The sequence below is a fragment of the Homo sapiens genome, chromosome X (genome assembly GCF_000001405.40).
Source record: "Homo sapiens chromosome X, GRCh38.p14 Primary Assembly".
Classification (NCBI taxonomy): Eukaryota; Metazoa; Chordata; class Mammalia; order Primates; family Hominidae; genus Homo; species Homo sapiens.
In genome coordinates, this window is record NC_000023.11 from 19,781,487 (window position 1) to 19,805,553 (window position 24,067).

Sequence of the window (24,067 nt, forward strand, 5' to 3'; positions counted from 1 at the left end):
ATGCACCTGTGGTCCCAGCTGCTCAGAAGGCTGAGGTGGGAGGATCACTTGAGCCCAGGAGGTCGAGACTGCAGTGAGCCATGATTGTACCACTGTACTCTAGTCTGGGTGACAGAGTGGGACTCGGTCACAAAAAAAAAAAAACAACTCATATGAAACATCCAGAAAAGGCAGATCTAGAGAGACAGCAGACAGCAGGCAGTGAAGCTGGGAGTGGGAATGGGAATTAACAATAAATGGGCATGAAGGATGTGGATGTTATTGGGGTGATGAAAATGTTCTAAAGCATTTTATGATGATGGTTGCATAACTGGGTATGTTTACTAAAAACCATTGAGCTATATTCTTGAAATGGGTGAATTACATGATATTTAAAATGTGCCTCAATAAAGTTACTTTCTGAAGGATTTTTTTAAATGACCAGGCAGATTTTTTAAACTATCACATTATGAAGGCTTCTGTTTCTTCTGCTTCCTTTTCAAGGCCCCATCCTGAATTGCTACTCCTACTGTGGTAAATTGAATGGCAACCCCCTAAAAAGATATGTCAACATTCTAATTCCCAGAATCAGGATCTTATTTGGGGAAAGGGTCCTTGCTGATGTAGTTAAGGATCCTGAGATGAAGAGATCATTCTGGATTATCCTGGGGGTCCCTAAATCCAATGACAAGTGTTGTCCTCATATGAGACACACAGAGGAGAAGATGGACAGAGGAGAAGGCAATGTGAAGAGGAAGGCAGAGAGAGGAGTGATGCGGCTGGAAGCAAAGGAAAGCCAGGAGCCACCAGAAGCTGGGAGAGGCAAGAAATGGCTTCTCCCCTAGAACACCGTTGGAGGGCACATTGATTCTGGACTTCTGGCTTCCAGAAATCAGAGAGAATAAATTTCTGTTGTTTTAAGCCACCCAGTTTGTGGTCATTTGTTGTGGTAGCCAAGGAAAACTAACCTGTCCACCAATGAGGCCTCTGGGTCTGGTTCCACCAGGAGCTCCACTCAGATCCCAAGACAGCCAGAGACTGGCTAGCCATGGTGGCGTGAGCAGAGGAGAGGAAAGGAAGGCTTTGTACGCACACACCAAAACAGAGAGCCCAGGACAGACACGTTTCGCAAGATGGGATTCTGCTGGAAACACCTAGTGACATTCTGAGAATACCAACTAAAAGAGCACTTGAAAGGAGTACCTCTCCATAGCACAGCTGCTCTGTCACCGCTCTGACAGTTCATGAGGCTTTTCAGACAGACCTCAGCTCTCTCTTTCACTGTTTCCAGCAATACAACCTGCGGCTCACTAGCACCCCCAAAACAGTTGCTGATGCCTTTCTCCAGTTCAAATAACAGGTCAGGTGCGGTGGCTCATGCCTGTAATCCCAGCACTTCGAGAGGACAAGGTGGGAGGATCTCTTGAGCCCAGAGTGCAAGACCAGCCTGGGCAACATGGCGAAACCCTGTCTACCAAGAGAAAAAAAACAACAACAAAAATCAGCCAGCGTGGTGGCGCGTGCACAGGCACTGTGCAGCTACTCAGGTGGTTGGGGTGGGAGAATCACTTGAGCCCAAGAGGTCGAGGTTGCAGTGACCTGTGATCATGCCACTGCACTCTCCAGCCTAGGTGACAGAGCGAGACCCTGTCTCAAAAACAATAACAAAATGACCATTGAGTCTCACTGACTCTGGAGGCAGCTCACAACCCTTTTTCTCGTTGCAAACCACACTTTAAGGAGTTTTTCTTTCTTTGAAAAGCATTTAGTAAGACTTTAGAATAGCAAACCCCAGTGTTTTGTTTAATTGACACATAATAATTGTACATATTTATGGGGTACATGTGCTATTTCAATACATATATACAATGTATAATGATCAAATCAGAATTAGCATATCCATCACCTCAAACACTGAGCATTTGTTCGTGCTTGAAACATTTGAAATCCTCTCTTCTAGCTGTTTGAAAATATACAATAAACTGTTGTTTATAGTCAGCCTATGATGCCACAGAATACTAGAACTTATTCCTCCCATCTAGCTGTAATTCTGTATCCCTTAATCAACCTCTCCCTACCCTCCTCTCTCTGTACCCTTCCCAACCTCTTATAACCATAATTCTACTCTGTTTCTGAGCTCAGACTTTTTAGCTCCCAGATGTAAGTAAAAACGTGCACAGACCCTAGAGTTTGAACGGATCTCTGAAAATGGGAAATATCAGATTAGTGTATTCGAAATGTCTATTCATATTCATTAACTCAAGCCTCAGAAAACAAATAAAAAAAAACTTAAACACACACACAAAAATCCTCACCTAATTTTACAAATTTAACCACTTCTAAGGGTGGACGTTTTAGCCAAAATAAACCATATCCTTAACTTTTTATTCCAAGTACATCATGCAATCAATTCACTGGTTCCTATTTTCCAAGAGTTACTTCCAAGACATTAGGGAACTCAATTTCCAAAAAACCCTGTTGGCATTCAAAGACCAGCAGAATTACTAAACCCTGCTACTGGAAAATTCAGGCCATTATGTTCCTCAAATGGGCTTAAAATGAACCCGTATCAATTATTTGACGACCATCTGGTTGCTAACAAGAGACTTTTGGAAACCAGGCTTAAAATAAAAATGTACAAATGAGCATAAAGTTCAGAAAATCAACAAGATTCAGTACTCAGATCACATCTGTCCTTTCTTATCAGCATTTTTTTCTCTAATTCCAGAATTTTCATTTTCCTCAGTTGCTCATTGCTTTGACTTCTTCTCATGGTAAGATTACCATTAAGACTTCCGATGAGATTCATTATAAAGATGATTATGTCAAGAGGAGGTTTGTTTTCTATCCGTGTATATCTAGGAAATGTGGTACACGATTAAGCTAAACTTAAAATCACTTTTTAGATGGTAGCTTTTTTATTATTCAAAGAATGGCACCCACTGCACAAAGAGGAAGTCCCAAATCCAGAATGTTATTTTAAGAAACACTATATCCTGACATGGGTTTACTTGTAGGTGACCACCTCTGGGTATCATTTGAGGGGCAGTGAAAATATGTCTATCCAAAAATTTCACTACCTCCCCCAAATCTCCAGTATTCCAGAGAGTCTGAAATTTTCATCATCAGATTTATTTTTTATTTTATTTTATTTTACTTTTTTAGACAGAGTCTCACTCTGTCGCCCAGGCTGCAGTGCAGTGGCGCGATCTCAGCTCACTGCAACCTCTACCTCCTGGGTTCAAGTGATTCTCCTGCCTCAGCCTCCCAAGTAGCTGGGATTACAGGCATACCACACCTGACTAATTTTTATATTTTTAGTAGAGATGGATGGGGTTTCACCACGTGGGCCAGGCTGGTCTCAAACTCCTGACCTCAAGCGATCTGCTCACCTCGGCCTCCCAAAGTGCTGGGATTACAGGTGTGAGCCACCGCGCCCAGCCTGGGATTTTCAGGTTTAATGATGGACCCAAACAATGTTAGAACCAAAAGGGGTCTTAGAATTCATCTGGTTCAACTTCCTAATTATAAAGGTATAGGTACATGCCTTGCCCAAAGTAACACTCCTCCTCCAACAAATACATACACAGTATCCACCCAGTGCCAAGCACAGTGCCAGGTACTGGGCAAATGAAGATATCACCCCACCCCCTGCCCTAGTCTCTCTAAATTCATAATCTAGTCTGGTGAGAGACAAAATTCAATGTAAGAGCTTTGAGAGAAAATGCTGCCCTTGGTCACAAAAGCAGAAAGGAAAATTTGCTGGTTTTTCAAGTCAAAGTATTTGGTATAAGAATTCTCAAGCACTTTTGGAGGATGAGGTGAGCGGACTGCTTGAGCCCAGGAGTTGGAGACCAACCTAGGCAACATGGTGAAACCCGGTCTCTACAAAAAATACAAAAAAAAAAAAAAATTAGCTAGGCGTGGTGGTACGTACCTGTGGTCCCAGCTACTTGGGAGGCTGAGGTGGGAGCATCACTTGAGCCAGAGAGGCGGAGATTGCAGTGAGCCAAGATTGCGCCACTGCACTCCAACCTGGGCTACAGAGTGAGACCCTGTCTCAAAAATACATATATTCTCAAACTGCTCAGAATTATTCTCTTAACTGGAGGGTAATAGTGTGCTGAGGCATTCTGATGTGCTACAGCATGAAATTATTATGAGCCATAAAACCTTATATTCTAAGAGGGGGCAAAAAGTAAAGTTAGCCCAAGTATCTATCAATGACTGAATGGAAAAACAAAATGTGGTATATCCATACAAGAGGATATGATTCAGCCTTACAAAGGAAGGAAATCCTGTCACATGCTACCACACGGATGAACCTTGAGGACATTATGCTAAGTAGAATAAGCCAGTCACAAAAAGACAAATCATATATGATTCCACTTACATGAACTACTTGGAGGAGTCAAATTCAGACACAGAACACAGAATGGTGGTTGCCAGGGGCTGGGGGGAAGGGGAAATGGGGAGCTGGTGTGTCATGGGTGCAGAGTTTCAGTTTTGCAAGATAAAAAAGTTCTGAAGATTAGTGGCACAACAATGTGCATGTACTTAGTGCTATTTGAACCATACACTTCAAATGACTAAGATGGTACATTTTATGTTACCTGTATTGCACAATAATTTTTTACATTTTTTTAAGTAAAATCAAATGAGTTTAATGTGATGAGCCAAATTCCATTAAAGACAGCTTTTCCCACCTAAGCATCTAATGTACTCTGCATGTCTGGGGCCATGGTGGGACTCAGGAGGTCAGAGTAATAATTCTAAATTATTCCATCAGAATGGCATTGCCTTCAAAATAATCAAGGCCAGGGAAGAAGGGAAGAATGAGGAGGAGAGAGAACAAACAAAGCAGCATTGGCCAGCAGATGATAACGCTGAAGCTAGACGATGGGTAAAAAGGGGTTCATTAGACCAGCCCCTCTATTGAGTGCTATGCTTCAAACCTTTCTTGTGGCGGCCAACAAAAGTGAAAGCTGGTCAAGGGAATTTCATTCTCTGGGCAAATGCAAAAGTTTATCTCTAAGATATCTGGTGTCACTAATTATCTTCGTTTATTATGTCCCAGCAAGGCAAAGCACTAAGTCAATTTAAGGGTAGCAACAGTGTGACCAAATACTATTGTCTTCACACCTAACTTTTTGAATAGGATACATTTACATCATTCAAATCACACACATACACACAAACATCCCCACACAGAATCTAGCTCCCATTCTCCCAGTCTACCACTACCACACATAGGTTATTAGTTTCTTAGGCAACTTCTAGTTTCTTTAAGAAAATATCATACATTAGCATATCATACCCACTGTCCTGCACCTTGCTTTTCTCACTGAACAATAATATATTTGGAAGGTCCACAGCGGTAAAAAGCATCCTCATTCTTTTTTCTGACTGTAGAGTATTCTACTATATGGATGTACTATAACTTATATATCCCAAGTTGATGGACATTTAGGATGTATACAATATTTTTCTGTTACAAATCATTTCATATCTATCTTGTGAAGAAAATTTTTATTAAAACCTGGTAGTTCAATATATACTGTGACTATTATACAGCTTAATGATATTATGTTAATATTGTCTTGAGCTGGTATTCTCCCTCCTCTCCTGGGATCTCTAACTCTTTAAGGCACAGCCCAAGCCTAACTAAGTTCCTCAGCAAAGCCTGCCTTGATCTTTCTGGTCCACAACAAGCACTTCTTCTTAATTTCTGTACTACACCTTCTCACACCACTTTGCATGTATTATCTATTTTTTGGCTGTTTGATGTGAATTGTGTGTTCCTGGAGGCCACAGCTATTGCCTATTCTATTTCGGTATTCTGCACAGCCCCTAGCAGTTTCAGCAAGGAGAACATATTTAACAAACACTGATAATTAACTAGCATTAGTAAATGTTTCCCTTATTCATGATTCACAGGTTTTCTGGACCCAAGATGTCCTTCAGAGAAGGGGTCTAGCCAGTTTGATTCTGTGAATTGTTGTAAAATCATAATCAAATAGTGACTCATTGCAAAAAAAGATCCAAATTCAACAAATTGAATCCTCTTGGCATGCTCTGCACACAGAATAGGAAACATCATGACATTCAGAAGGTGCCCGACATCTCAATTCACAGGCACAAAATGATATTTAAATAGCATCTGTGATGGGGACACAGCCAACATATACAAAAAAGTTACAAGTAACATTGATGTGGGGTGGAGAGGAGTTCTCTCACACTTTTAAGGGTAAATTATGCTCAGCATAATTCTCAATCACATTTTAATTTTACTCTGCAATCTATTTCACTCATTCAATCACTCTATATTGAGGGTGGCCAGGGAAGGCCTCTCCAGCAGGTGACTTCTTCGCTGAAATCTGCATGGCAAACAAGAATGGCAGACCAGGCAGAGGGACTTCTCCTGAGAAGCTGCCGGACGCAGGCAGAGGTGCACAGATGGCAAATAGGGTTCCAATATAATTGGTGTTATGAGTTGAATTGTATCTCCCCAAAAGATATGGAAGTCCTTATCCCCAGTATCCATGAATATGACGTTATTTAGACATAGGGTCTTTGCAGATGATCAAGTTAAAATTAGGTCATTTGAGTGGCGCTAATCCAATATGAGTGGTATCCTTATAAAAAGGAGAACTTTGGGATGGGAGCTGTGGCTCACGCCTGTAATCTCAGCGCTTTGGGAGGCCAAGGTGGGAGGATCACTTGAGCCCAGAAGATGGAGGCTGCAGTGAGCCATAATCGTGCCAGTGCACTCCAGCCTGAGCAACAGAGCAAGATTCTATCTCCAAAAAAAAAAAAAAAACAAAAAAAAAAAACACAAAAATGAAGAACTTTGGACACAGAGATATGCACACAGGGAGAATGCCATGTGAAGATGAAGACAGAGACTGGGGTGATGTGTCTACAACCCAAAGATCGCCAGCAAACCACCAGAAGCAAGGGGAGGAGCAGACTCTCCCTCACGACCCTCAGAAGGAACCAACCCTGCCCACACCTTGATCTCTGAATTCCAGCCTCCAGAACTGCCAGACAATAAATTTCCACTGGTTAAGCCACTCACAGCATGTGGTACTTTGTCACAGCAGCACAAGCAAACTAATACAATGGGTGTCAGGTACAGTAAATATTCACACCACGCTGAAAGTCACTTTGAATCTATTTTGGCAGCAGAATCCTTGTCCTAAATACAATTTTACCTGGACCTCCAATATGTTAACAGATGAAAAGGATGAAAAGGGTTACTCAAAAGAAAATACTTCACTCAACCTATAAAGTACCAATCTCTGATCACATGAGTTCTTTGCAACCCTCTTTGAAAAGGACTTAAAAGGAAAGTTAAAAAAATAAAAAAATAAAAAGAGGCCAGGCACGGTGGCTCACGCCTGTAATCCCAGCACTTTGGGAGGCCTAGGCGGGCGGATCACGAGGTCAGGAGTTTGAGGCCATCCTGGCCAACATGGCAAAATCAGGTCTCTACTGAAAGTACAAAAATTAGCCGGGCATGGTGGCGCATGCCTGTAGTCCCAGCTACTCAGGAGGCTGAGGCAGGAGAATTGCTTGAACCTGAGAGGCAGAGGTTGTGGTGAGCTGAGATTGCGCCACTGCACTCTAGCCTGGGTGATACAGCAAGGCTCCATCTCAAAAAAATATATAAAAATAAAAATAAAGAAAGAAAAAGAAAAACCTCAAACCAGACGGGGTCAGAAAACTTGGGTGAGGGAAGGGGGTGGTGATTTCTATTATCATATTATTAAATGATTATGGTGACCACCACCACTGCCATTTGAAAGTACCTCCTAGAAGCCAGGCACTGTGTCCACTCTTCTTGTCAACTCAGGGTGTTGTGGTCCCTCTTTAGGAAAGCAAAATCAGGGGACCTGACTTGCTAAAAGCCCCCATCTTAGTCAGCCTAGGTTGCCATAACAAAATACCACAGACTAGGGGGGCTTAAATAATAGAAATTCATTACCTCACAGCTCTGAAGGCTGGAATCAAGGTACATTGGGTTTCTCCTGGGGCCCCTCTCCTTGGCTTGCAGATAGCCACCTGCTTGCTGTGTCCTCACATGGTCTTTCCTCTGTGCGTCTGCGTCCCTGGTATCTCTCGGTGAGCCCTAATCTCCTCTTCTTATGAGGACACCAGTCAGATTGGATTAAGGCCTACCCTAATGGCCTCATTTTAACTTAATCACCTCTTTAAAGGACCTATCTCCAAAGACAGTCACATTATGAGGTACAGGGGGGTTAGGGACAAAATTTGGCCCATAATAGCCCCTTAGGGAAAAAGCCACAGAGCCCACATTCCAACCCAGAACTATTTGACCCCAGAGGCCATTTTCCTCAGATCACACTGCCTGCCCCCTAAAAGCCCTCTTCATTTGCTATAAAGGAAAATATATTATCTGAACAATAAGAAAAATAAATAACAGCTTTTTGGTTTGTTCCCTTTTTAAGACTCTCTCGAGGTCATCCCCTGGGAAAGGCCAGGGAGAGTCCCCAGGGCACAGTGTCAGCCCTCGGGGCTCAAGGAGAAAGGAAATGAAAGCTGCCCCACCTCCTCTAAGAGGCCCAGCCTGAGGCCAAACCTACATGGATTTTAGCTTCCACCTTCCAGGACACTTCAGGCCGACTCAAAAAAAAAAAAAAAAATCCTGGCCAAGAATACCCTAAAAAGTGCCCATCAGAAAGCCCTGACTTTTCAGAAAATATGAGCCCTTCACATGGTTACCTGGGCTCTGGCAGCTGCCGTACCCACCAGGGTTCACAGAATCATCTTCAAACATCTACCATCCTCTGCTCCTTCAGATACCAAATCATATAAAAGATGGCACCCTGCTGTGCCCTTCCCTAGGCAGGAAAGCAGTGCTCTGAAGACTGAGATGACAGAGTCCTTTATGAGCACCGTTCTGGGGGCCTACAAGGGGGAGATGTCCAGGAGAGAGCCCTCCTTTACCAAGCACAGGGACCCCATGAAATCAGAAGAATTCTAGAGTGGACAACCAATCAAAATACTTACGTTCCAAACACCCAGCCAGAGTGAAGAGGACCAGAAACCAAGTGTTGGTTAAAATTTGATTAGGGATACATATCTGATCCAAGATAATAAAACAATTTAAAGCCCTAAATGCAGTACCAGCTATATTTTTTTTAAGGACAGTGTGAAAAAAAGTCATCTTGGAGTGGGAGAAGATGGGGAATGAAGAAACATCAGAAAAGACGTCATGGAAGAGATAAGAGGGGTAGTAATGACTGTAACATGATTATAACATGTTACATTTACATTTATTATATTATGTTCCATTTGATACAGTGTACCAAATGCCAAATGACCTATGCTTCTATTTCAGAGACCCACTGATATTTACATGTCACAACCTCTTTAGTAATAAGGGTCCATTTCTAACCACCTCAATTCTAATTGAGGCATGTCATCGAATACTCCCAGAAAGTTGTCTATCTGGGTATTGTCTCCCAACTTTATATGCATATTCTAACTCTGTGGTTGAAAAAAGTAAAAGCCAGTTTCAGGCCAACCCCAGGAGGAAACCAGTAAATACACATCCCCCTGAGTATGCTCAAGGCTGAAAACCAATACTCATAATGGTCATTAGGGAAGACATGGTCTCCTAACCAACTATGCTCCTTCCTATAGATGAGATTCTACCTTTGTGTTCCCAGCTTATTAATCAATAATTTATGCCAGGCATGAAAAAAATGCCTGATAGAAACAAGTCAAGCTATATATTGCTGGTAGAAGGGCAATTTAGCAATATCTATCAAAACCATAAGGACATAAACTCTTAACCCAACAACTCCACTGCTAAGCATGTATCCTATGGATAGACTCATAATAGAAGGTGACTTGTTGCAGGAGAAGCTGAAAACAACCCCAAATAGGGCACCAATTAAACAGAATAAGGTGCTGATATAGAAAGATGCATTAAGTAGAAAAAAGCTACTTGGCTCACACATTGCATTCTGTTGCCCAATTTGTGGGTTTTAAATTTTTTTGTATTTCAATATTTGTACAAGCATACAAAAATCCTAGAGAATGAAAAAAAAAAAAAAACCAAGAGGGAGGGGAGTAAAGTAGGAAACTTTATGCTCTTCTCTACCATCTGAATGTCTTTTCCGTGAGTTTATAATTTAAAACACATAGAAGAAAAATCCATGAGCAATGAGAATTCACGAGCATATAGCCTTGAATTTCTTTCAGTAGTGAACAGAATCTTAAAGGACGGTTAAGCAACCTTCACTGGGCTGATTCCTACTCAGGAAGTAGCCTGACACAGTTAAGACTGGGCTTCATGAACAAGGCACGAAACCCAAATGGTTTCTTATTAGTCATCGTTCAATCAGAAAACCAAAGAACTTTCCACACCCCATTCTGCAAGTCTAGCACATAAACACATTTTTAATCAATACATTTCCGTAATTTTGAGGGGTAAAGGTATGTGACATAATTAAAATACAATCCAGAACACTATGAATTCAATATCTTACTCAATGGATACTAAAAATTACAGTGATGGTAACTTCTAGAAGGAAAAAAAATAAGCTGGAAAGGGTGTAAGTATGCACATGGATACTCACCACGGTTTTGCATGTTAACAGCAAAAACAAAATTAGAAGCAAACCAAACGTACACAACAGGAGACTAAGTGAATAAACTATATGCTAGCCATACAACAAAATACTACAAACCTTAGTAACTCTGTATCATAGATATGGAAAGGTATTTGTGGCACATTTAAATTAAAAAGCTGTTTATAACAGCTTTTGGTATGGCTCTATTTGGAAAATTATTTTTTTAATATATACTTGTATACGCATGCTGGAAAAGGTTAGAAGGAAATAGACCAAAATATGAACCATGGTTATCTCGGCAGTAGGATTACAGGAGATTCTGCATATGTATATTTTGGCTGATCTCTATTCTAACTTTTCTATCAAAACATTTTTAACTGTGTGATTTTTAACTTAAAAAAATGTTGGCTATCTTATCCTTTGGCAGACACAATGCTCTTCCACGGAAGAGAATTCAACATGAAACATGTTGCTTGTTCTCTATTTTGCCCCTTTGCAGGTCTTTCAACAGTTTTTCTGATGCTTTAGAAACTAGAGAAAGGGGAAGAAGACAGGTCTAACATTTTCAAGGTCGTCTTTCCCTCTTTTAAATGTGGCTATTATGTTAGGCCAGTGGTTCCTAACCAGAGGCAATTGTGCCCCAGCAAGGGACATTTGGTAATGTCTGGAGACGCTTTCCTTTGTTGTCACGACTTGGAGGGATCTGGCGGGGGCGGGGGGTGGGGGCAGGGGCGGGACGGGCGATTGTGCTATTGGCATCTAGCGAGTAGACCCCAGAGATGCTCCTAAACATCCTACAACACACAGGACAGCCCCCACAACAGGCTTAACTGGCTCAAAATATCAACAGTGCCAAGGCTAAGAAACTCTGGGTAAATGAGTCTTCAAGTGACTCCCTAACCCTTCATAAACAGCACCCTCAAATGGCTATATAAGAGCATCTGGGCCAGGCATGGGTGGCTCACACCTGTAATCTCAGCACTTTGGGAGGCCGAGGTGGGAGGATTACTTTAGCCCAGGAATTCCAGACCAGCCTGAGCAATATAGTGGGACCCCATCTCTTAAAAAAATTTTAAAATTAGTCAGGCATGGTGGTTGCACACCTGTAATCCCAGCTATTTGGGAGGCTGAGGTGGGAGGATTGTTTGAGCCTGGGAGGTTGAGGCTACAGTGAGTTGTGATCACACCACTGCACTCTGGCCTAGGTGACAGAGCAAGCAAGACATTGTCTCAAGGAAAAAAAAATATATATATATATATATATATATCTGGCTAAGAGGCACCCGTGCTAAAGTGGGAATGCACTGATCGCTGAGGCGGAATACCTGGGTTGAATCCTGGATCTGCCTCTTTTCTAGCCGTGAAGCCTCAGGCAGGCAACTGTACTATCCTGCTGATTACCCCATCCTCCTCTATAAACTGGAAATCCCACCACTGGCCATCCACCTCCCACCTCTGAGTGCACAAGAAGCTTCAACACAATAATATGGGAGAAGAGGTTTTGTAAACTATAAAGCACCATGCACATGTGAATGCTATTATCATTCTAGGGTAGTAGTTGGCCAAGTTTACTAATGAACACACACTTAGGGTTTCAATGAGTCTTTACCTAGCACATTCCCACTGCCCTGAGTCACATTAACCTACTTCAGATGCTAACTTGGCAGTGATTTTTACTAAATACTGAAGCTGAAAAACATAAAGAGTGGTTTTCCTATATTATCTCTCCCTTGGCTTAAACTGTGAAGCACCAGAACTTAGTGATCAGACAACATGACCTGGAATCAGACTCCCAGGAAAGAATCCCACCTTTACATCTTACTAGCTTGGTGACCATGGAAAGTGATGTGGCTTCTCTGTGTCTCAGTTTCCTCATCTGTCTATCCAAACCAGAACATTTCAGAGTGAAATGGTTTATCATCTGACCAGGACATCTGAGAATGAAAGCAGGTGATGTCAATGTTAATGCGAGGACAACAGGCATACACCAGAACGGTCCCCAGGCAAGTAGAGGAAATAAGGTGGCTCTAAAAGAAGGGATAATGCTGGGCATGGTGGCTCACACCTATAATCCCAACACTTTGGGAGGCCCAGGCAGGCAGATCACTGAGCCCAGGAGTTCAAGACCAGCCTGGGCAACATGGTGAAACCCTGTCTCTACAAAAAAAAAAAAAAAAAAAAAATCAGCCAGGCATGGTGGTGTGCAACTATAGTCCCAGCTACTCAGGAGGCTGAGAGGTGGGAGGCTCACTTGAGCCCAGGAGGTCGAGGCTGCAGTGAGCTGTGATTGCACCATTGCACTCCAGCCTGGGTGAGAGTGAGATCCCGTCTCAATAAATAGATAAATAAATAGGCCGGACATGGTGGCTCACGCCTGTAATCCCAGCACTTTGGGAGGCTGAGGCGGGCGGATCACGAGGTCAGGAGATCGAGACCATCCTGGCTAACATGGTGAAACCCCGTCTCTACTAAAAATACAAAGAATTAGCTGGGCTTGGTGGCAGGCGCCTGGAGTCCCAGCATCTCGGGAGGCTGAGGCAGGAGAATGGCATGAACTCGGGAGGCAGAGCTTGCAGTGAGCCGAGATAGCGCCACTGCACTCCAGCCTGGGCGACAGAGCAAGACTCTATCTCAAAAAATAAATAAAATAAAATAAAATAAAGAAGAAAATGATAACAGTGCCTGCCTCACAGCCTTGTAGTGATGACTAAATCAGATAAAAGAGGCAAAGCACACAGTACACACTCATTAAATGCTAGCTACGATTTTTTTTGTCCTTACTCCTTCCATTCATTCAGCAAATCCTTAGTGCCCAGGCATGACTCTGGGTGCCAAGAAAGTAACAGGAAGTCAGTGAATAAGAGCTTATCTGATCAACAAAGACAAAAGGATTTATTATTATCCCAAAGTCCCTGATTCAGGAAAGCTATTTCAGTTTGACTAAAAGTGAGCTATAAATGAATCCCATTAAGTTGTATTAATTAATGCCCTTTGTAACTTAGCACTCAATGCTTCAAGGCATGTTACGATATTCGCTCCCTTTCATTTCTATGCACACCCCATTATGATGAATTACATATGGCATGTCCACCAAGACAGCTTTACAGAACCCATACATTATGAAAGCAAAGTTGCTTTAGCTTGCTTTTGCATGGAGATGCATCTGTATCTTTTGCCAAGAATTAAGCATTTTAGTTCAGTATACTAGAACAATTTTCTCTAAAAGTCAACACTCACCATGAGAGGTAGATATTCCTTATTTTACAGAGACGTTCTTTAACCTCTAGGGGCTTGGTGCTGTAATCACAAATTCCTTTTCCTTCCTCCTTTTGCCGCCCTCCATTTCAGTAAAATTGGTCTCAATTACTATGACCACAAATTCTCACACCCTAATGTTTCTGTACTCAACTACGGGGCCTTGCCCTTTCCTCCTCCTCCTCCTCCATGTTCACATTTTACGAGGCACATTCTCAGTCAGCCCTCCTTTTGTGCTAATTTCTGAGGCCATTACAGAGGCCATATTCCACTCCTTCGGCAATTCTTAGATCTCAAACAAATACCAGCCAGACCCCATCACTGGAAAGGCAAGCTACGGACCTCCAAAAAGAGTCTGCCTATGGAGTAAGCTGTTTGTGCGTAATTCACAACAAACTGAGGGGCTATCAGTTTCTGTTGTACTTCATGCCTCTGTCTTGATTCAAAGAAGCTTAAATCAATGGTGTGTGTTTTGATCTCGTGCTAATTATGCAGATGTGTTTAGTTTGTAAAAATTCAACAGCCGTACCCTCATGCGCATTTTATGTATGTCTATTATATTGCCATAAAAATTCTTTTTAATAGCTTACACCATGTAAACCTCTATATAAACTAAGCATAGTTTACACCTCACCTACACTAATGTCCCTCAAACTGTTTTCAAATGGACTGCCACCAATCGGTGGGCCACGTAATCAGTTTAGAAGGTCCTGACAAGCATCTGTTGAATGGAATGGAGAATACAAGAGGGCATCACACACAGTGAAGGCAGCTACTGTTTCAGGAAACTTACCTCAGTTACATGGGATGTGTACCGTAGACCAGGTTGCCAGATGTTTTTTTAACTGCAGAACTTGGTTGATATAGCCCTGGGAGACACTGAGTACATCAACAAATAAAAGATGAATTTGGGAGTCAGACAAGCCTGGTTTCTGATCTTGGCTGGTTGCAACCTATGTGCTTAGGAACAAGTCACCTAACCTCAGTGAGCCTCCATTTTGCTATCTCTAAAATGGTGGTAAAAACTGTCAACTCCCTGGAATTGGTGTAAGGTGTCAGTGAGCTGGCAAACAGTCTGCCACAGAGTGCTACTTAGACATGGTCCCTACCCCCACTGCCATTTAGGTGGTGCCTTGGGCTAGCTTCTTTACCTGTAGGAAGGAAGTTTCAAGGAAATATACAAAGAAAGGAAGTGCCAAGGTCGAGACCTCACTAACATCTGAGAGCATCAGGGCAGGGGAAAGCTATTATCCCAGCACATTTGGTGGTAAGTCATCTGGCTTTGTATTCCAACCAGAGGGAAAACCACTTTCCAAGATAATGGGGTTTTTCACATTATTCTTGGCAGGAGGTGGAGAAAGGCAGAAAGGGAAGAAGGTCTCAGTAAAGAAATAAAGCATTTATTTTAAGCAAATCACGTTGAAGACAGGTGGTTTTCATTTTGAGAACAAAAATGATGCTTAAAACAGAGGGTTATCCCAGACACCAGCCAGGGGCTGGCCAAGACAGAGAAATAGTGCCCTGGGGTCTGAAATGCTCCCAAAGTGCCAGAGCAGTGATGGATGCAGATGGGGAGGGGGCCAGCCACATAAAACATGGGACTGGCTCTATCAGCTTGCAGTCACAAACTACTTAAAAGTAATTCACCGTGTTAATTATCCAAAGCAACTATTCATTCAACAAATATCTGTTGAGCATTTACTATGCATCTAGAATTGAGTTAAGAGCTGGGGATATGGTAGGGATAAGACAGACAAGGCCCCTGCCCTCATGGAGCTAAAATTCTGGTGGGAGAGACATCAAATACCAAGTCCATCAATGAGTTAACAAAATATTTACAGGCTGTGATATAAGGACTGCAAAGGAAATAAATGTGGTGATGTGATGGGAATGGAGAAAGGAAACTCAAGATGGAGGCTGGCCCTTGAGACAAGATGGCCCTGGAGGGCTGCTCAGAGTGGTACCTGAAAGAAGAGAAAGGGCCAGCCAAGCAAGGAGCCAAAAAGAAAAAAAGGGGCATTCCCAGCAGTGAGAATTGCAAGTGACCAGACGCAGAGACAGTGCTGGGACAGGCGAGAACTCAATATGGCAGAAGGCAGTGGCCGAGTGGGAAGATGACCCCGATGAGGCTGAAAAGGTAGGCAAAGCCAGACCATACGAGGCCCAGTAGACCATAGAAAAGAAAGTGGATTTCAATGAAAAGCAAAAGAAAAGTACCGAAGGTTGGCACTCTGATATATTACTTTGATGTTGGTTAAGAGGTGCTCTTAAATCATCATACGCAAAACAAACTGTCCTGATGATTTATACAATGTCTCTCCGTAATCAGTGATAAAAGTTAGCACTGTGTCAGAGATCACTGATACACGATTATTGAGGAGTCTTGCCAGTCAAAGACAAACAACTTGAGCCTATGGATGAGATGAAATATGAGGAATTCAATGGGGGAAAGGGGTGAGAGAACTTGTGACTGGCAAGGGAACACTATCATCGGTAATTAACTCACAGCAAATATAAAGCACATAGTACAGTTAATTAACAAAGCAGGCTCTAGAAAGTGCCCTAAACACACACACACACACACACACACACACACACACGAAAGGCAACTGGGGCTTGACCGACGTGCATGGTGGCTGCCTAAATTCATAAACACATTAAATGAAACAACACAATGGAAAAGTACCATGACGGTGTCCTACATGTACTTCTGAATCAGAATTCAGATGACTGCTCGGCAGTTTTCAATCAAGGTTTATTTTTATTTTTATTTTTTTGACACAGGGTCTCACTCCTATCACCCAGGCTGGAGTGCAGTAGCGTGATCATGGCTCACTGCAGCCTCGACCTCCCAGGCTCAGTCAATCCTCCAGCCTCAGCCTCCTGAGTAGCTGGGACTACAGGCGTGTGTCACCATTCCTGGCTAATTTTTTTTTATTTTTGGTAGAGACAGGGTCTCACCATGTTGCCCAGGCTGGTCTCGAACTCCTGGGCTCAAGCGATCCTCCTGCCTCGGCCTCCCAAAGTGCTGGAATTACAGGCATAAACCATTGTGCCTGGCCGAGGTTTACCTTTTGTTTTCCTTCTCCCTCCCTCTGGCTGAATATAGGTTTTAATAAGTTGGAAACTCAAAGCTGGACGGGAAAGGGGTCTTTTGAATTATCACTCTCCCCAAGGACCTGTAACACAGCCTCCTAACTTGGGTCCTCAGTTCCCATCATCTTTAACTTAAACGTTAGCTATGAGACATAACCATGACTCACTCATACCCTTTCCCCAGGACCTTGTTTTGGGAGGCGGGTCACCTGGCCATGACTAAAAGGGCAACCTGGGGCTACATACTTAAGCAAGGCCAACTGGCCAACCCCAAGATCAAACCTATGACACTGACCATGAGAACTTGGTGGCCACAAAAGATGGCCTGAAACAAGCCAGGACAGCAACACTGGTGGCATCTCACAGAGCCCAGCACACTGCTTGCATTTATGGCATAGAGTGCCATGGAAAAGGAGAAGGATGGCAACCAAGCACCAGGTGCCTTCACATTCATTACTTTAAACAATCCAGTAGTCCTGCGAGGTGGTAGGATGCAGATTTTCAGATGAGAAAAGTAAGACTTGGAGAGATCTTGGTTAGCAGCCCATGGCTGCACAGTTAGCTGAGTGGGGAACTGAACCTCTCCCGACACCTCAGTTGGCATCTGGCAACAGGACAGTGCTCTTGACAGACCCCAAGCTGACTTTCTCTCCTGTCTCCCATCTCATTCTTACCCCCACCCCCTTTATTTCTTCACACTACAGGAAAGCTAAATTCCACACCTGGCTTCCCCCCTAGATTCCCAGATCTGCCAGCTGCATCAGAAATGTTACCTGCTCCCAACCCCTGAGAGGGGTACCTCACTGCAGAAATGGATGCCTGCAGGGGGTTTGGTTGAATGCAGCTATCTGTGTGCCGTGTCCCCTGGAGAAAACTCACCTGGCTGTCGATAGTGATCAGAGAGGGAAAGAGCCACCAAACCAGATGACAGAGCTATTCAAAATCTTTATAAATGCCACTACAAAAGGAACTCAGCCAAAGAATCCACTTCTATCACAGACAAGGGCTTAGTGAAAGAAATACCCTTCGGCTATAAACCAGAAAACTGAGACCTGGGGCCAAGTGGAAAACAGTGTTGGTCACCATCTTGGAAGGACTGGCCTGAGACCAAATTCCCCATCATGCCTCCCTCCTGGCCTACAAAGTAGTCGGGCAACAGGCTACAAAAGATGCAGACATCGCAACAATCAAAACAGATGTATGGCCTACTTACAATCTCAGACAAGTCTGCGGCACTTGGGGCTTTGGCTGCTGAAACCTCCATTCTGTGAAGTATGAAATGGTAATTTCTGGCTGTGTCTGAACTCTGGGCAGGAATAAGTTCCGTGCTCTCCGAGAACTGCAAGTCTCTCTGATTCACTTGGCAGCAAAATTATTCTAAGCATCCTGTCCCGTACCCAACCCGCCTGCCCCTCCCACTACACACTCACACTGGTGGTTTTTTTGTAATTCTTTGCACTTATTTCTGTCGCAAATCAAGTGAAAAGTAATCCAATCTCTGGCACTTGAGAGTGTGGAACCTGTATGACTGAGGAGGAGGAAGAGCCACCTAATTAGGAAGAAGTTATAATTAACATCAGAGAGGAGAGAGCTGGAGAACCGCAGAGTCTGCAGTAACAGCAAAATGGAGATTATTTGAGACAGCTGAAACACTCCACCCAGGCCTCCAGAAGAGGACATGCACGGGAAACAAAGGGCATATGGTGTTTGCTTTCTTCAACATCCGTTCTCACCATTACGAGCTGCACCAGCAAACGTTCATTACTTACATGTGGACAAACCTCGCCCTGAAATGCACTCTAAAATACAGCTCCTAATCAAATAAATGACTTCGCAAAGCAGAGGCTTACCTTGATTTTTTATTACATATAAGTAATAAAGTAAAATTTAATAAAGTCCAAATAACTGGCAGAATGTCTATTTGGCTCAGTGAAGCATGAATTATACTTGAAAGTCCATTTTTGTTAATTTCAGGTTCATACAGTAATTCAAATACTGACATAGTCAGAGCAGGATTTTATTTTTTCCCCAAGGAGAGATTCCAAGGGACTAAGTTAATAACTAGATAGGAATGATTTTCTACTATTTACTTCTAGTCGTATATTTAGATATTTCTATCCTAAAGCAAACAGGTTTTTCGAATGTTACTCAAATCATTTATTTCCCACATATGTTAGTGTTACCACCATCACCAATATTACCCTCACTATAAAACTGTTCAAAGGTAAACTTCAGCGAACTTCTTGACCAAATTATCAGAACCTCCTGAATTAGTGAGATCTGAATTGATACTTTTCAGAGATGTAAAGTTAGGGTCAGCTTCAAAAATACTCACATATTATTACTCTCAAGCCTATTGAGATCAACGATCAAATCCGCTGTCACTCAGCCAGGATGAACTGGGATTGGTCTGCCTTCCCCCAGATAACAAGTTCAAAATCAGAGGATCACCTTGCTTGCATTTAACATAAAAAAGGCCCCCAAGTGAAAGGAAACAAACAATCCAATGCAGTTGGTCAGGAACCCTCAGTGAGCACTGCTGGTTGCCTACCCAGTAGAGCTGGCTCCCTTCCTCCTTCCCCAGCAGAGCCCACTCCTGGTCACAGGTGCCATCCATTCCCCCATGGAGCCCATTTCCAGCTCTAGGAAGGACAGCCTAATTAATTCTAAGCCAATCATTGCTTCAGGGTGGGCAGGGGGAACAAAGCTCACCCAATCAGACTGCAAGAAATAACTCCTCCTACATACGGGCTGTGAGCAAGGAAGCAAAGGGCCCCACTGCAGATGGACACCATTCTACAACCATCTGATGACCACAGGGAAGCCAGCCCTTGGGTGAAGCTACTGCCAGAACAACACGGTGGGGGAAGAGACAGCAAGAACACAGGTTTCTGATGTCACACTGAGCAGCTGATCACACTGCCCCTGGGGTCCACCCTACCTCTAGCCTCCCAATTATGCAAAATAACAAATGTCTGTGTTTAAGGCAGTCCCAGACAGGTTTCTGTTCCATGCAATCTCAAGTGTGCTGGGAGGAACAGGCTAAGCAGTAACTAACCGGGTAGCCAAGAGTAAGAGTTTATAATTTGGGAGACTCCTTAAAGTAAATAATACATTTGCAGAAAACATTCTCCTTAAAGAAAAAGGAGAAATTACAAAGGTGAGTGGTTGCCTAGGGCTGAGCGTGGAAATGGAGAGTGACTGCAAATGGGCACAGGTTTCTTTTGGGGGTGATGGAAATGTTCAAGAATTAGATTGTGAAGATGGTCACACAACTCTGTAAATATATTAAAAAGCACTGACTGGGATACTCATTAGGTCAATATCATGGCATGTAAATTAGACCTCAAAGCTGTTTCTAAAACCTTGCCTGGGCCAGGTGCAGTGTCTCACGCCTGTAATTCTAACACTTTGGGAGGCTGAGGTGGGCGGATCCCTTGAGGTCAGGAGTTTGAAACCAGCCTGGCCAACATGGAGAAACCCTGTCTCTACTAAGAATACAGAAAAATTAGCTGGGCATGATGGCAGGTGCCTGTAATCCCAGCTACTTGGGAGACTGAGACAGAAGGATCACTTGAACCCAGGAGGCAGAGGTTGCAGTGATCCAAGATCACACCACTGCACTCCAGCCTGAGCGACAGAGCAAGGCTCTGTCTCGGGGAGGGGTGGCCAGTGGGGAACATGCCTGGAGGCTCAGTGCGGTGGCTCATGCCTGTAATCCCAGCACTTTGGGAGACCCAGGTGGGCGGATCACTTGAGGCCAGGAGTTCGAGACCAGCCTGGCCAACACAAGGAAACCCGGTCTCTACCAAGAAAACACAAAAATTAGCCAGTTGTGGTGGCGCATGTCTGTAGTCCCAGCTACTCGAGAGGCTGAGGCACAAGAATCACTGGAACCTGGGAGGCGCAGGTTGCAGTGAGCCAAGATTGCACCACTGCACTCCAAAATATTAAAATAAAATAAAAATAAATAAAAACCTTGCCTGGGAGCAGGTGCTCATTCAGGAGAGGTCACAGATTGAAGGAACTTTCCTCCATCCACATGTGACGGTGCGGCATACCCCTGCTTAGAATCCTGCCTCAGTGGTTCCCAATTACCCCAAAAGTCCAAGTTCCTTTCAAGGGCGTGCAAGATCCCTCTCACCTTCTGGCCTTGCTTCCCATTTTACTCTGGCAAGGCTTATTTCTAGGTACTCATCAAGCTGTAGGCCTCTGTTCACACTCACACTATACCCTCATTCTCACTCGCTCTGGGCTCTGGCCCGTCCTCTTCACCTGATCAAATTCCTTCCTCTTCTGCCCCAGGCTCTTAGGTCCCCCTCCCTTTGTGCTCCCTTAGCGTACTGGGCACGCACCACAACGGGTTGGAAAAGTGTGCTTCCAGGTCAGTCTCTCCCCTCATGCTCTCCCCCGGGGCCCAGAACAGCTCTCAAGACATAGCAGACACTCAACAGATGCCCACTGGACTGGGCTAATCTTTCTCTTTCGGGAAGGGCACCAATCTCTCCCACAGGGCACTGTGTCATTGAGGTTGGGGGCGTGAGAGCCAGAGGCAGGTTCCAGGAGTCCTTGCTCTCATCCACACCCACCTTCCTCCAGCGACTTCAGACTCAGTACAGGACACAGGGGGCAGCTTGCACTGGCAGCTTCCACAACGTGCAGGAAATCCCTTATCCAGATCACACTTAGCGCTCTGCTTCTCGGCTCCAACCCTCCCTGACACAGAAGTTCATGGTGACAATGCACAACATCTCTCACCGTAGAAGCTTCAGAAAAGGAAGACAGGGAATGTCCAACTTTTTTTATTTTTCTGATTGTGAGGTTTCCCTTATTTATTTTAGAGACATTGTCTCACTATGTTGTCCAGGCTGGTCTCTAACTCCTGGGCTCAGGCAATCCTCCCACACCCCAGCCTCCCAAGTGCCAAGCCAGGCACACACCACCATGCCTGGCTAATTTTTAAATTTAGTGTAGAGACAAGGTCTCGCTATGTTGGCCAGGTTGGTCTCAAACCCCTGGTCTCAAGTGATCCTCCTGCCTTGACCTCCCAAAGCACTGGAATTACAGGCATAGGCCACCACACCCAGCCCCTTATTTTTTTAATCCTTAGATAATGTAAGGAGTTAAGAAAAGTCACACACGCAACACTGGGAAACACTTGGTTTTAAAGAAAGACTCCAAGTTAAAAGAGAGACACAATAGCTTGAGGAGGGCGAAAGCTAAGTCTCTACCTGGTGTCTTATCTTCCTGCTTGACCTCAGGGGAAAAGATTAATAGTAAGATTTACGAAATGTTAAGAAGACACTTGCTGGGGTGTCTCAGTTATCAAAAAAAATAAAATAAAATAAAATCATACCGTGAAAGTGGCAAAACTCCATGGTGGTATCTGCTTTATCACAACAAAGACATCCCCTGGCCCTTCTTTCTAACCTGTCCTGGCTCCCCACACACTGCTAGAAATGAAACCCCAGGCTGGGCACAGTGGCTCACGCCTGTAATCCCAACACTTTGGGAGGCCGAGGCAGGCGGATCACGAGGTCAGGAGATCGAGACCATCCTGACTAACACGGTGAAACCTCATCTCTACTAAAAATACAAAAAATTAGCCAGGCATGGTGGCGGGTGCCTGTAATCCCAGTTACTCGGGAGGCTGAGGCAGGAGAATCAGTTGAACTCGGGAGGCAGAGGTTGCAGTAGGCTAAGATCGCGCCACCGCACTCCAGCCTGGGCGACAGAGTGAGAATCCATATTAAAAAAAAAGGAAAAAGAAATGAAACCCCAAACCCAGGAGCGTAGGAAAGAGCTGAAATAACACTTTAAATATTCACGATGGTAATTGCAACTCCTACCTCATAATCATGACTTCTCTTTTCCATATTTGGGCCCCGGCTTCCCTGGAGGCACTCCAGGGGCCTTCACAGACATTATCTAATGCTAGGCAGGTCAGCAAGCTAACCATTAAGTACTCTTTTTTTCCTCCACTCTCTCTGATCTAAGCCAGTTTGGACATACTCATAAAGAACTAGTGAGTTCCCTTCCAAGATGGGTGGCTGCTAAGATAGCTCATGTAGTTTTGGAGTGGAAGCCCTTAGGATGTCAAAAAGCTTAACTTTAAACATCTCAATCTGATTCCAACAGTGAAGTTTTCAAAGCTGTCATTACTCCCCCATCCCCAATAAACAAAGCTGGCAGATGTATTATCAAATGATTTCTATAGCTTTTTTTTTTTTCCCCAAATACCTGCTGGTTTCACCCCTGCAGAGATCTGATTCAATAGGTCTGGTGTGGCTGTGAGAAACTGTGTTGTTTAAACTCCCCCAGGTGATCCACACAGCCAGAAGATAGAGAGCTAGGTCTAAAGTGTCAGAAATTATTGCTACTAAAAGGAGGATCGACTGGGAGCTTCTTAGAACTGCAGAATCTCAGCTTCCCCAAACCTACCCGCCCCCAGCCCAAACCCTACCCCCCCCCCCCCACCCGCTGCCATCACAATCTGCCTTTTAACAAGATCCTAGGAAGAAGGGCACATCTGAGTTTAGGCAGCCTAAGGCTACACTGTCGTCTGGCCTCAGAATCTTCTAGGGTTTTTGTTTTTTGTTTGTTTCCCCTTTACAAATGGGAGGGCACAATCAAAATTCACATTCCAGTTTTTTCCAGGATCTTTATTGATGAACAACAGAGTCAAATCCTGCTCTCACCCTCACCATCCTCCTAGAAAACATGACTAGTCAGATTAAATGTAAAGGGAGTCAAAAATGAGACAAAGCCTGTTTTTTAAATTAAAGCAATACATTGTTCCATTTGTGCTGGCAGCATCGGCACTTGCATTACTGCGCATGTTTAAAGCTGCCAGTCGAAATCAGCTCTAGATAGTCAAAGCAGCAGAACCTGCAAAATCTTTTAGCGTTAAAGGGCTTTATGTGGAACCAAAGCATTCCACGGTAAATAATTTGTGGAGCTAATGAGAACTACTAATTGCATCCATTCTTAAAAATCAACATACTTGAAACTTTTTAAAGATTCATGTGCTTATTTCCCTTGTTCAAATAACATCATAAGGCATCCACAGGAAGTTGTGGTTTCAATTAAGACATGGCTGCATATTAAAAAAAAAAAAAAAAAAACACCTCACA

The 24,067-nt window shown here is 43.7% G+C and overlaps 1 protein-coding gene across 21 annotated transcripts in view, besides 1 other annotated feature; it reads right to left on the reverse strand.

Annotated features, from left to right (window-relative positions):
- SH3KBP1 (SH3 domain containing kinase binding protein 1) overlaps nucleotides 1-24,067 on the reverse strand; it is a 353,624-nt gene that overhangs the window by 247,510 nt on the left and 82,047 nt on the right. For 3 of the 21 annotated variants that reach the window (XM_047442047.1, NM_001024666.3, XM_011545499.4), the window contains exon 1: nucleotides 18,148-18,287. The exons of the other annotated variants lie outside the window; for them this stretch is intronic. In XM_047442047.1, the coding sequence (XP_047298003.1) occupies nucleotides 18,148-18,198 (51 nt within the window). In that variant the 5' untranslated portion in view covers nucleotides 18,199-18,287. Of the gene's footprint in view, nucleotides 1-18,147; nucleotides 18,288-24,067 lie in introns of those variants that run through there. 21 annotated transcript variants of the gene reach the window in all.
- Nucleotides 21,076-21,996: an enhancer, noted in NCBI's record as "H3K4me1 hESC enhancer chrX:19820680-19821600 (GRCh37/hg19 assembly coordinates)". NCBI's record gives its function as "activates a minimal SCP1, AML or CMV promoter by ChIP-STARR-seq in naive H9 embryonic stem cells {active_cell/tissue: H9 hESC(naive)}" and the evidence as "EXISTENCE:reporter gene assay evidence [ECO:0000049][PMID:30033119]".